Here is a 13,232-nt window from a genome sequence, read left to right as displayed (position 1 = left end):
GGTTACATCTATGCCTTTTCTTCACCTTGGAATAATCTGCTGACTCCAGTGTATGAAAAAAAAGTGTTAAGTAAATTAACTTCATGGCTGTTTTAATGATCACATTTCATTGTTATATCATTTTGGATGGTTCCAATTTGACTTCCTTCTGTCAGTTTCTTTGGATTGATTTTCTATCGGCTCATTTTCAGAAATCTATACTGTTATTATCCTTGCCCTATCTCGAGAAACAGTTAATCTTCATGATTCTAATTTTCTTTTTGTCAAAAAGTGAAATATTACTCATAACTCTATAAAGGTACCTAAATAATGGTGAAAAGACAAATTACATAACTATTTGTAATGGCAAAATATCCTATTTCTTTAATAGTGAAAATACTAACTTACTGGTAACTGCAGACATATTTTTACACCTAATTGATAATTTTTAGTTCTCTGATAGCTCCTGCCAATTCCTCTTACGCACGTATTTTGCCAATATAGGATGTGGGTAGGTGAGGGATTACTCAGAAAAACGGAACCTCATTCTTGGCTGATAGGATGATGAACTGTGTGATAAAATGCATAACCTTTTCCTCCACCCTTGGTTCACAAAACTTTTAGTTTTCTAACTTTCATTTTATGCAAACAGGGTTGGCTGCTCAAACCAAGCTTTTGAGAGAGTACAGCAAACAAAGCAATTTCTTAAAAGTTTAAGCCCCTCCTCTACAAAAGGAAAGAAAGGGGTGAGAATTAAAAGCGAGAGAGGTAGAAAAGGAAGGCTAGGTTGTTAGAAAAAGAGACAAGAGAGGCAAGGGAGGGGTGAAGGAGGAGGAGCAGGAGTGAGAGAAGCAAAGTAATCTGGACAATTATTTTGCCTAAAAGTTTGAGATTGAATTGAAAAGTTTCTGCTTGAATTGATGTAGGAAATTAAGCAGTTTGATCTTTGTTCTGATATTTGTCTTGCAATAAGACCATTTTATGTATCAAATGTTATGTAGAGAAAGACTAGGTATTATTTTTCTGAGACTCCAGAGAACCTAGACACCTGTCTAAATTATATGAAAGTTCTGTAAAGTTATTAGCAAATATATATACATATATATATATACACACATATATATACATATATATATATACACACATATATATACATATATATATACACACACATATATATACATATATATATATACACACATATATATATTTTGAGATGGAGTTTCGCTCTTGTTGCCCAGGCTGGAGTGCAGTGGTGCAATCTCGGCTCACTGTAACCTCTGCCTCCCAGATTCAAGTGATTCTCTTGCCTCAGCCTCCCAAGTAGCTGGGATTACAGGCATGTGCCACCACGCCCAGCTAATTTTTGTATTTTTAGCAGAGATGGGGTTTCACCATGTTAGTCAGGCTGGTCTTGAACTCCTGACCTCAGGTAATCCACCGGCCTCGGCCTCCCAAATATTTTTATAAAACATATTCTATAGTATAAATACTCTGTGGAGGGTGCCACCAAAGTTGATATTAAACCTTGCTTTTTTTTGAGACAGGGTCTCACTCTGTCCCCCAGGCTGGAGTACAGTGGTGCAATCTTGGCTCACTGCAGCCTTGACCTCCCCCGTGCTCAGGTAATCCTCCCACTTCAGCCTCCTGAGTAGCTGGGATGACAGGCGCACACCACCATGCATGCCGCCATGCCTGGCTAGTTTTTCATGGCTGGCTAATTTGTTTTGTTATATTTTTTGTAGAGATGAGGTTTCACCATGTTGCCCAGGCTGGCCTTGAACACCTGGGCTCAGGCGATCTGTCCACCTTGGCCTCCCAAAGTATTAGGATTATAGGCATGAACCACTGTACCCGGCCTTAAAAAAAAAAAAAGACAGAGATTCACTGTGTCTCCCAGGCTGATTTCTAATTGCTGGGCTCAAGCGATTCTCCCACCTCAGCCTCCAGAGTAGCTGGGACTGCAGGTTCACACCACTGTGCCCAGCCAATGCTATTCTTCAAACAGCCCAATGGGAGCAGAAAATATACTATGTGTGCTCAAGTCATCTACACCATGGCTGTCTGTGTTACTAGTGTGTTTGAAATTTTACAGATCAGTAAGAATTTCAGTGGCTCACTAGGCTTTATGAACCAATATATGTAGGAGTGGGTTACCCAGCAACCACTCTATGGCTTTAAGATGAGAAGGTAGGGGAAGTGAGGAAGTCACACTTACCTGCCTGCTGCCTGCCTTCCTTCTCCCATAGCCATGCTCTTGGCTGGGGAGAAAGGGTAGATGTAGAGCCTCCAAGAGCTGCAGAACTATTAAAAATCCAGTGGGTTTCTTTCATAAACACATAGATGCTTTTCTAAATCCAACAGAAATCTGACTCCCTGACCTGATTGTTAGGCTTGTGGTCAGAATCCCAGCACATGAACTGGCACTGCTGCTGGGAATTATGAGTCACCCTTTCATGTTCTTCCTGGTGTTGAAGCAAGTCTCTGCAGAGGAAAAAGAGCAATCTGTCAGGTGAGCTCATCACTGTTATCGTCACTGTCTAAGCTCTAACTTCCCAAGAGACCATGCAATGTATGTGAAAGAGCCCTTTTCGAATTCCAGAAACATCACTGTCTCATTACGTGACCTTGGACATGGTTACTTAAGTTCTCAGAGTCTCAGTTTTCTTGGTTAAAATGGAAGAGTTGTCACCGAAACTTAAATAGTTAATGTATGGGAAGTATCATGCAGATCTAGAAAAGTGAAAATATTATTTTATAATACTGTGGACACAGTATAAAGCACATTAGATATTATTTATACCCTCTACATTTTGAAAAGCTTTTGAGATATCTACAACATAAGAAGAGGAGAAAGGAAAGACCCATCAAATAGTAGATGACTATTTGTTAGGTCCTTATTCACTCGGCACTTATTGGTCAATATTCTATGCAAGGTCTGTGGGTTACTGTGGTGATACGAGAATCTGTAAGATATATGGCATGTCTTTAAAGAGTTTATAAATCTAGGAGGAAAGATTGAACATAGACACAAGCAATTCAGAAGAGAACATGTGCTCTGTTTAAAATGTGCACATAAAGTAACTGCTATAGCACTTCAAAGCAGACTAATTCTGAGGAAGACTCACTGTAGAAGAAAGGCAATCCAAGCCAGTTCCAACATGTGTTGAGTATCCATTATGAGGACTGCTCAGGTATTTGTATATTCAATAAGGACTCTCAGATAAAAGAAACTGCCTGAGTCAAGACATGAAGGTAGAAATACATATATAAGGTGCAGCAGGGAACAACAATGAGCTCATGTGGAAGCAGTGCCCTAATAAAGAAAGATAAACTTGAAATCATTTTGAAGAAGTGCATAACATCATGGATGCCCTTACATATAAATCCAACATTTGGTCTTTTGTCCTGTAGATAGTGCAAGTAATGCATCCTATGGAAGCCCTTAAGAAGAATAAATAAATAAATATATATATATATATATATATATATATATATACATTTTTGAGATAGAGTCTTGCTCTGTCGCAGGTTGGAGTGCAGTGGTGTGATCTCGACTCACTGCAGCCTCTGCCTCCCAGATTCAAGAAATGCAGCCTCCGGAGTAGCTGAGACTACAGGCACACGCCACCACGTCCAGCTAATTTTTGTATTTTTAGTAGAGACAGGGTTTCACCATGGTGGCCAGGATGGTCTCGATCTCCTTACCTTGCGATCCGCCTGCCTCGGTCTCCCAAAGTACTGGGATTACAGGCATGAGCCACTGCGCCTGGCCTAAAAATCTTTTTAAAAAAATATTTTTGTTCTGCTTGCGGATTTATCATACGTGGTCTTCCTCTCTGTTGAACTGGATTGGCTCTGATTCTGGGAAAGATTATGTAAGAATTCTTCATTTTTGATAATAGAATTTCAACTTTGTTATCAGCTATTCTAGAACCCAAAGCTTCTGGAAATTTCTTTTATTTATTTATTTATTTTGAGGTGGAGTCTTGCTCTGTTACCCAGGCTGGAGTGCAGTGGTGAGATCTTGGTTCACTGCAACCTCCGCCTCCCTGGTTCAAGTGATTCCCCTGACTCAGCCTCCTGAGTAGCTGGGACTACAGGCATCCACCACCATGCCCAGCTAATTTTTGTATTTTTAGTGGAGACGGGATTTCACCATGTTGGCCAGGCTGGTCTTGAACTCCTGACTTCAGGTGATCTGCCCGCCTTGGCCTCCTAAAATGTTGGGATTACAGGCATGAGCCACTGCGCCTGGCCTAGAAATTTCTTAAGGCAATAAAATATAGTGGTTGAAACTCCTGGCACCACTCTTTTGTATACTGGTACCGAAAGAAGGTTTAAACAATTGACAATTGGAAGAGACTGTCTTAGAGATACGTTGTCTCCTTAATGTCCCAACTCACTAGAACTCAAATATTAACATTTGTATCAGTCAGGGTTTAGTCAGGAAAAAAGAAACCACACCAACTATTTTAAGAGATAATTTACACAGGGAAATTTAGTTATATAGATATTGGAGGACTGACAGGGGAAAAAGGAACAAATACACAGGGAAAGTAATTGCAGAAAGCAGCTGCTACCACTAGGCCTGGGGGGAAAGGTGAAAGGTTGGGGTTGTTGGAAACTACAAGCTTGGAGAAGGTGGAAGCTGGAATCCAGACCTCTGAGGTGAGGAAGCTGCCTGGATGGCACTGGTGCTTCAGAACGCAGAGGAGAGTCCAGTGGAGCTGGAACCCAGATTTCAGAAGATGCTCTGAGAGAGTGGCATGAACTAGGTTCTGGGAGATGGGGAAATAGTGGAAACTGGAACCAACTGCTACTAGAAAAAGCTAGAACTGCTGGCGTGAAGAACCACAGCTAGGTGATACTGACAAGAATAGCAAGCAAACGGGAAGGAGTGTGTTCCACCTCCTTCCTCCCGTCTGTTCTCTCTCTAGCTCCCCCATTGGCAGAATCTAACCGGAAGCCAGGTGGCAAAAATGACACTGGAGGTTACCCACAACCGGCTTCAGCATCACAAGGCCAAATATGGAAGAGCGGGTTTGATCCTGAAAGAGTACTAATAACTAGCACTGCAGACACACAATTCACCAGGATAACTTATTTACAATTGAGAATTTTGAAATCTGTACCAGAGTTCTGATTCAGTAGTTGTAGAGTGGGGCTTAGAAATCTTCACCTTTGAAACAGCCTTGAATAATTTGATGCAGGACATCTTCTAAACACCCTTTCAGAAATGCTGCTCTAGTCTGTCTAAGCTAAATCCCTGAATCAAGTTAGAACAAGGCTTGGTGACATGCTCAACTCCACTAATTTAGGAGTTAAACTCAATAATTAATTTTACTTTCTTAAGTTTTTTCATAAAAAATGCTTATATGAAGAATGCCTCTGAGGTATCTTCAAAAACTGCAATTTAAAAATTTGTCCATTGTGGTATGCCACATCTCGCATTCACATATAATGTTTATAATTCTAAAACATATAAAAAGGAAATGATTAAAATAGAAACTTTGAATGAGATAATATATACAATTTCATGTGAGAAGATAGGTTTTTCACATGAACTTGTATGTTTTTTCTTGTCAGTCAAAAGAAAAGAAAAGAAATAACACTTTGCATTTCTCTTTTGCTTTGGCTGCCAGGAAGCTCAGAGTCATTCAGTAGAATCTCATCCAAGGCTTCTGTTTGGATAATTTTATTTTTACATTTTTAAAAACTGTGAATTGCTTCATCTTTTTTCTTGAAACATATTGAACAATAAATTCATATAGGAATTAAAATTATACATATTTTTCAAAATGCTTTTACATATACTACCTTGAAGTTCTCACTTATTAAACTCAAGGTATAATAAAGGCCCAAATTGATGTCCTCTTAGAAGAAATTCATCTGCTGTGGCAGTTTTGAGAAGGTACTGGTCTTCAATATGAAATAATTTTTTCATACAAATATGTGTCATTAATATATCCTCTAGGATTCTTTACACTTTATAAGCTAGATTAAAAGCCTATTGAGTGCTGGGCATGGGGGCTCACGTCTGTAATCCCAGCAATTTGGGAGGCCAAGGCAGTCAGATTATTTGAGGCCAGGAGTTTGAGACCAGCCTGGACAAGAGGGTAAAACTCCATCTCTACTCAAAACACAAAAATTAACTGGGTGTGGTGGTGCGGGCCTGTAGTCCCAGCTACTTAGAAAGCTGAGACATGGGGAGAATCACTTGAACCTGGGAGGCAAAGGTTGCAGTGAGCCAAGATGGCACCATTGCATTCCAGCCTGGGCGACAGAGCAAGACTGTCTCCAGAAAAAAAAAAGCCTATTGATACAATTCTACCTTTTTAATATTTAATTTATTTCTACTGTTTATATAGTCATACCTTAGAAACTTGAGAATGACAATAAAACATTATTATGCTAGGAGTAGGCAATCTGTTAAAAATTCAGACACAGAGTGCTATAGGCCAGGGGTGTCCAATCTTTTGGCTTCTCCGGGCCCCACTGAAAGAAGAATTGTCTGGGCCACACATGAAATACACTAACACTAACGATAGCTGATGAGCTTAAAAAAATCGCAAAAAAAGTCTTATAATTTTAAAAGAGTTTATGAATTTGTGTTGGGCCATATTGAAAGTGTCCTGGGCCACATGCATGGATAAGCTTGCTCTAGGCAAATAAGATGTCTTAGATCTGAGTGGGCTTATAGTAGATTGACATGGAACTGGTTTTATTTTTCTGCAATAACTTACCACCTTGCAGAATTTCTTTTATTTATTTATTTATTTATTTATTTTTGAGATGGAGTCTCACTCTGTTGCCCAGGCTAGAGTGCAGTGGCACGATCATGGCTCACTGCAACCTCCCGGGTTCAAACCTCCCGAGTAGCTGGGACTACAGGCATGCCCCATCATGCCTGGCTAATTTTTGTGTTTTCTAGTAGAGACAGGGTTTTGCCATGTTGGCCAGGCTAGTCTCGAACTCCTGACCTCAAGTGATCTGCCCGCCTTCATTTATAGACATCATATTGTGTATAATGCCTGAGAAAGTACATAATAGTGAAATAAACATCCTAGACACTTACTTTATAGTTGTTTTTGATGACTCGTAAGAGTGATGTAAAAAAAAATAAAAGAGTGATTCGGCTGGGTACTATGGCTCGTGCCTGTAATTTCAACACTTTAGGAGGCTGAGGTGGGCAGGTCACTTGAGGTCAGGAGTTTGAGACCAGCCTGGCCAAAAAAGGTGAAACCCCATGTCTGCTAAAAATACAAAAATTAGATCAGCGTGGTGGCACATGCCTGTAGTCCCAGCTACTCCGGAGGCTGTGGCAGGAGAATCGCTTGAACCTGGGAGGCAGAGGTTGCAGTTAGCTGAGATCGTGCTGCTGCACTCCAGCCTGGTTGACAGAGTGAGACTCTGTCTCAAAAAAAAAAAAAAAAAAAAGTGATTTAGTCTTATAAAGGGGATCATTTCACGACCTCAAAGTCTGAGTCACTTTACATGGTAATTAAAATGAACCCATTGCACTGAATCTTCCATGGTAGAAAACAGTAATATGGTATCTCCCCTATTGTTGAAAGAGTATCAGCTGTGAGTAAACATATGAGCAATAGGAATCCCCAGGTCCAGTTGGAAAAAAATGATAAAAACTTATGAGCAAATATTTGTTTTCTGGCTGCTACACTATTGTGTTCTTTTAACTAATACAAATAATGTAATTTGGGGAATATTCAACTTATAGAGCCCTTTTCTACCTCAAAAAGAAAGTGCTTCCTATTGCTCTCTTTGCTTACTAAAGCTTGTCATGGATACAGTCTTGGCGAGGGTGATAAAGAGCTCTGGCATTTGGTCTGTTTCACCTGAATTGTAACTAGGGTCCCCTGATGAAATTATCTCCTGCAGGGACTACTTATTTATTGTTTATCTTCTGTTTAACTAGAATGTTTTTAGCAGATACAAGGTGATCTCATTTACATCATGAATATGGTTTCTGGACATCTTATCTTTATAACTATACAAATAATTCATCTAAATTCAAATAAGTAACAGAAACAACAGTTAAAATTTGCCATATATTGTAGCCCTTAAAATACTTTGGAGAAAAAGGAATATGACATTCCATAAAATCAGAAAACATAAATATAGAGTTGGGATAAGGAAATTCAAGAGCCTAATCTGGAAGACAAGGATTCACCTATGTATTAACAAAAGGTTCTACCAATGTAATCCAAGACATGAAACAGTATCTGGCAAAGCCTGTGGGAAAAAGCACTGGAGAGGGAGACAGATTACTTGGGTTCTAGTCTGGGCTCTGCCACTAAATGAGTGTGTGCCCTTGAACAGATCAGAACTCTCTATGAATTATTCCATTTGTAAAATAAGAGAATTAGATTAATATATTTTTATAAGATTCCCATTGTTCTAACAGTCTGTCCCTAGGTGTTCCATAAAATATACAAGTAGATTAAGTTAGAATTACCTGTTTAAGAGTAGCTTTTCAGATTGATGATTATTTCAGTTCATTCTGCATAAGGATACCAGACAAGGCAACTCAAGTCCTGGGAGGGTCAGAAAGTGCAGGAGCTTAAGTCTATCTGTTAATGAGTTACTGTAGGGGAGGCAGAGAAAGGGTAATATATCTGTTTATTTTGCAATTTATACAGTTCAAGGGGACAGTTTCTAAAATATATGCTATTTGTTTCCAAACTATGCTACTTTAGGAAATGCATAATTTTGGTGGTTAATGGTAGTATAATAAAACTTAGTTATGGCATTTAGCCATCTGTCATTTACCCTCTTTACATGTGTTGTTTATGTATTTTCTGTTTTTATGTAATTAGCTCCTTTGGTGTGTTCCTACATGGAAGGATACTGCCTCTTTCTGATCCTACCTGAGCTTCTGAAATAATTAGATTGGGGAGAAAAATGCTGAATTGAAATCTGTCTGACTTTTAAACAATGATGTTGACTCACTTTATGCTAGAATACGACAAGCCAGATATTATTTTCTGTGCAACACTAAAAAATTATTTGCCGTTTTTTTCTTTTCTTGCTCAGTTTTATTTTTTTTTCTTTTATTTTACTTTAAGTTTTGGGCTACATGTGCTGAATGCTCAGGTTTGTTACATAGGTATACATGTACCATGGTGGTTTGTTGCACCTATCAACCCCTCATCTAGGTTTTAAGCCCCGCATGCTCTCCCTCCCCTTTTCCCCCACCCCGTGACAGGCCCCAGTATATGATGTTCACCTCCCTGTGTCCATGTGTTCTCATTGTTCAACTCCCACTTATGAGTGAGACCATGCGGTGTTTGGTTTCCTGTTCCTGTGTTAGTTTGCTGAGGATGATGGTTTCTAGCTTCATCCATGTCCCTGCAAAGGACATGAACTCATTCTTTTTTATGGCTGCATAGTATTCCATGGTGTATATAAACTGATTGTTCATGTAGTGCACTACCTATAGCACATGGTCTAATAAATGATCTCTTTACCACCTGTTTACAAGGCAAAAAATTAAAAAGAACAGTAACTCTGACACTAATCATATTGACAAGGAAATAATAAACACAAACCACAGATTTATAAGGTGAACAATTGTGCCAAAGTCTTTTTTTTCAGATATCTATTTTCATTTTATTTATTTATTTATTTATTTATTTATTTATTTATTTATTTGAGACAGAGTCTCACTCTGTCACCCAGGCTGGAGTGAAGTGGCATGATCTTGGCTCACTGCAACCTCTGTCTGCCTCCCTGGTTCAAGTGATTCTCCTACCTCAGCCTCCCGAGTAGCTGGGATTACAGGCATGTGCCATCACACCTGGCTAATTTTTGTATTTTTGATACAGATGGGGTTTTGCCACATTGGCCAGGCTGGTCTTGAACTCCTGGCCTCAAGTGATCCGCCCGCCTCAGTCTCCCAAAGTGCTGGGATTACAGGCATGAGCCACCACACCCAGTCTATTTTCATTTTTAGTGTTTTACTATTTTTCCTATTCATTAGCAATGTTAATTGATAGATCTCCTGAAGGCCAAGGACAATATATCACAACATTTAAAGATAAGAATCACATAAATGTCTAATGGGAAAATATTCCCAATTGTAGAATCAATGAAGACTGAAGTTAAAAAAAGGATGCATACAGAGGAGAGAAAAGTATCAATGCAACAGCAGTGTGTAATATGCAAGAGATCCAGTGGTTAGTTTTTGTTTGATAATTATGTTCTCGCAAATTTATGTGTAGTTTTAAAATATGTTGGATTCAGGCATTGAGGCTCCTCGAAAAATTATAGGTAGATGATACATTAAATCAGTCTACAGGTTTATACAGTTACAGGGTAAAAATTATTATCTACTGAATTTTAATGTGTTGAATGTCTATTTCAAGTCCATTTGTCAAAATAAAGTATGGTGGTAGCAAATGTCTTTAATCTGAACAGAATGGTTTTTATTGATAAATTGATGATTGAATTTCAGGAGCTAAAATTCTATATTGCTTTCTAATTTTCTTATTGGTTTATTTGCAAGTCAAGTGTAATAGTAGGAAGTTAACTATAGTTTTAACATTGAATTAGAACTGTCACACATGAATTGCTTAATACCTTTTCTGGATTTTAGTAGACTGACCTGTATTTCATTTTCATGTCCTACTTTTTAATTCAATTGAGTCACATAATGGGCTGTAATTGAGTCACAAAACAGGAAATAAGCTTGTGCCAAGTATATGGAACAAACTTGGCATATGTGGTGTCTTTACCCTTATTAGTGGAAAGTCAGTTCTGGTAAATCAATCAGTCAGTTTATCATTAGTATTTCCCTCACCTGGTAAGACAGGACATAGTACAGTTTCACATCCCTTACCTGAAATTATGAAATCCAAAAAGCTATGAAAAGAGGAAGTGTTTTCAAAATTCAAAACCTGACCTGACTTGACCTGAACTCATTTAGCACTGAAACTGTACTGAACTGATATGCACCTTTGTAGTCTTTTTTTTTTTGAGACAGAGTTTCGCCTTTGTCACCCAGGCTGGAGTGCAATGGTGTGATCTCGGCTCACTGCAACCTCTGCCTCCCAGGTTTCAGTGATTCTCCCGCCACAGCCTTCTGAGTAGCTGGGATTACAGGCACCCACCATCATGCCCAGCTAATTTTTGTATTTTAGTAGAGATGGGGTTTCACCATGTTGGCCAGGCTGGTCTTGAACTTCAGGCGATCTGCCCGCCTTGGCCTCTCAAAGTGTTGGGATTACAGGCGTGAGCCACTGTGCCCGGCCTGTAGTCTTTATTTATCTCACTTAGTGTGAATATGCACATGCTTTACTACAGTGATATTAATATGGTTAAGAGGGTGCTACCCAGATCCTGCTGAAAGTATAATATATGGCATATGTATCCTGCTTTTTTTTCTAAAATCTGAAAGATACTGACTTCCAAAACAGTCTTCAAGAGTTACCTTTTCTTTGAATATAAATCTCCTAATGTGCATTTTTCAATACTGAGTTATTTTCTATCTTTTCAGCAACTTCCCAGGTACATTTATGATTATTGCATTATTATTGCAAGTATTAAAGGCAAAATTCTGCTTTTGTCCTCTCTGTTGTTAGTACACTGTGAAGGCTGAATGGCTTGCTAGAAAGAACCTTAGCTGTAAAGAGACCTAGAGTTAAATCCTGGTTGGGCTGTGTGACCTTGGACAACCTATTTAACATCACTGAGCATTACATTTCTTTTTCTGTAAAATACTGACTGATACCTACATTGCCCCCACCCTCTTTTTCAGTCTCAACCTCAAAGAAGGAATTCTGATTAGGTGGACTATGGTTGTTATCCTTTACCTCTGTTGGATTCCATTGCTACTCCTTTGTTTGCCCTGGGGATGTCCAAAATGATAATTTTTTAGTTAATCAATTATAAAATTTATTCTTGCCTTTTCTGCCAGGACCTCAAGATACCTAAGCTGTTAGTTTAGGTACAAGTAACAAGAAAAGTAAATACAAGCAAGAGAATTGATGTTATGCTTATTAGGGAAAGCAAAATAGCAATCTAAGATGTGCTCTGGCAGCAATAAAGTTATGGAAAAGGTGGCACAAATATTTTCCATAGTAAAGGGATAGTCTAGAAACCTACTGAGATTTTTTTTTTTTTTTTTTTTGGAGACGGAGTCTCACTGTGTTGCCCAGGCTGGAGTGCGATATGGTACTATCTGGGCTCACAGCAACCTCCGCCTCCCGGGTTTAAGCAATTCTCTTGCCTTAGCTTCCTGAGTAGCTGGGATTACAGGCGCCTGCCACCACACCTGGCTAATTTTGTATTTTTAGTAGAGATGGGGTTTCACCATGCTGGCCAGGCTCGTCTTGAACTCCTGACCTCAGGTGATCCACTTGCCTGGACTCCCAAAGTGTTGGGATTGCAGGCGTGAGCCACCAAGCTTGGCCCTACTGAGATTTTATGTGTCAATGGATTCTTTTAAAAACTATTGGGTTGCGCTAGTAGAGACATTTTTGACATGATTTTGGACATAGTCTGTGTTTGGAAGCAGAGGAAGGCTGCTCCTTAATTTTTAATTCTCCATCAGTGTCTGTGATACATATTGTGGAATTATAGATCATTATTGACAATTTCTGATATAAAAGTCATATATATGTGTGTGTATGTGATTGTGTGTGTGCATGTGTGTGTGTGTTGATAGATAGTGAAGGTCCTTGTTTTGAGTTTTTAGAGTGTATTTCCCTTTACAAAATTGTTTCTTTTGTTCATAGTGCTATTGTTGTTAATTGAGGTTATCATCAGGAGATCTTTCACCATTTAAATGGTTTCACTTTACGGGGCATCATGTGTGCATACCTTTATTTTCCATTTTAAATTTCTTTTTAAAATTCAGAGTCCTTCAGACTAAGAACATTAGGCAACACTTGGTGTAAGAAAATATGTGGTTACCATGGGGATTAGGAGCTATTCCAGGTCTGTTTGACCTCTTTTCTTTATTGCAGGTAATTTATTCTAATACATCAAAAATTGCTTCTCAGGAGAAACTCTATTCTTTGATAGGCACCCTTATAGTTCTTTAATGCCACTGGTCTGAAAGGTAAGACTTTCCAGATATATTTTATTTTTCTGAATAGTTAGACCATAATATTATCCTTGTTTAATAATAATATAATAGTAATAATAAGCATGATGTATTGCACACTTACTATGTAGCTAGCACATAATCTCATTTAATTCTTAAAACCTTTCTTTGTGGTAGTATTATTAAT

The 13,232-nt window shown here is 38.6% G+C and overlaps 2 protein-coding genes across 6 annotated transcripts in view, besides 1 other annotated feature; one reads left to right on the top strand and one right to left on the bottom strand.

Annotated features, from left to right (window-relative positions):
* LGSN (lengsin, lens protein with glutamine synthetase domain) overlaps positions 1 to 13,232 on the top strand; it is a 297,657-nt gene that overhangs the window by 43,326 nt on the left and 241,099 nt on the right. The window lies entirely within an intron of this gene.
* The window catches only part of PTP4A1 (protein tyrosine phosphatase 4A1), a 67,149-nt gene that overhangs the window by 53,307 nt on the left and 610 nt on the right, over positions 1 to 13,232 (bottom strand). For 2 of the 5 annotated variants that reach the window (NM_001385257.1, NM_001385256.1), the window contains exons 1-2: positions 8,456 to 8,536; positions 2,198 to 2,463 (exon numbers count right to left, since the gene is read on the bottom strand). The gene's annotated coding sequence lies outside the window, so the exon portion shown is untranslated. Of the gene's footprint in view, positions 1 to 2,197; positions 2,464 to 7,057; positions 7,393 to 8,455; positions 8,585 to 13,232 lie in introns of those variants that run through there. The other 3 variants (NM_001385258.1, NM_001385255.1, NM_001385254.1) reach the window with 3 other exon arrangements.
* Positions 10,954 to 11,043: an enhancer, noted in NCBI's record as "active region_24718". NCBI's record gives its function as "activates an Ori minimal core promoter by ATAC-STARR-seq in GM12878 lymphoblastoid cells {active_cell/tissue: GM12878}" and the evidence as "EXISTENCE:reporter gene assay evidence [ECO:0000049][PMID:35858748]".

This window comes from Homo sapiens, chromosome 6, assembly GCF_000001405.40.
Source record: "Homo sapiens chromosome 6, GRCh38.p14 Primary Assembly".
Lineage (NCBI taxonomy): Eukaryota > Metazoa > Chordata > Mammalia > Primates > Hominidae > Homo > Homo sapiens.
The sequence above is the reverse complement of the archived record's forward strand: the minus strand, read 5'-3'. Positions and strand labels throughout refer to the sequence as shown.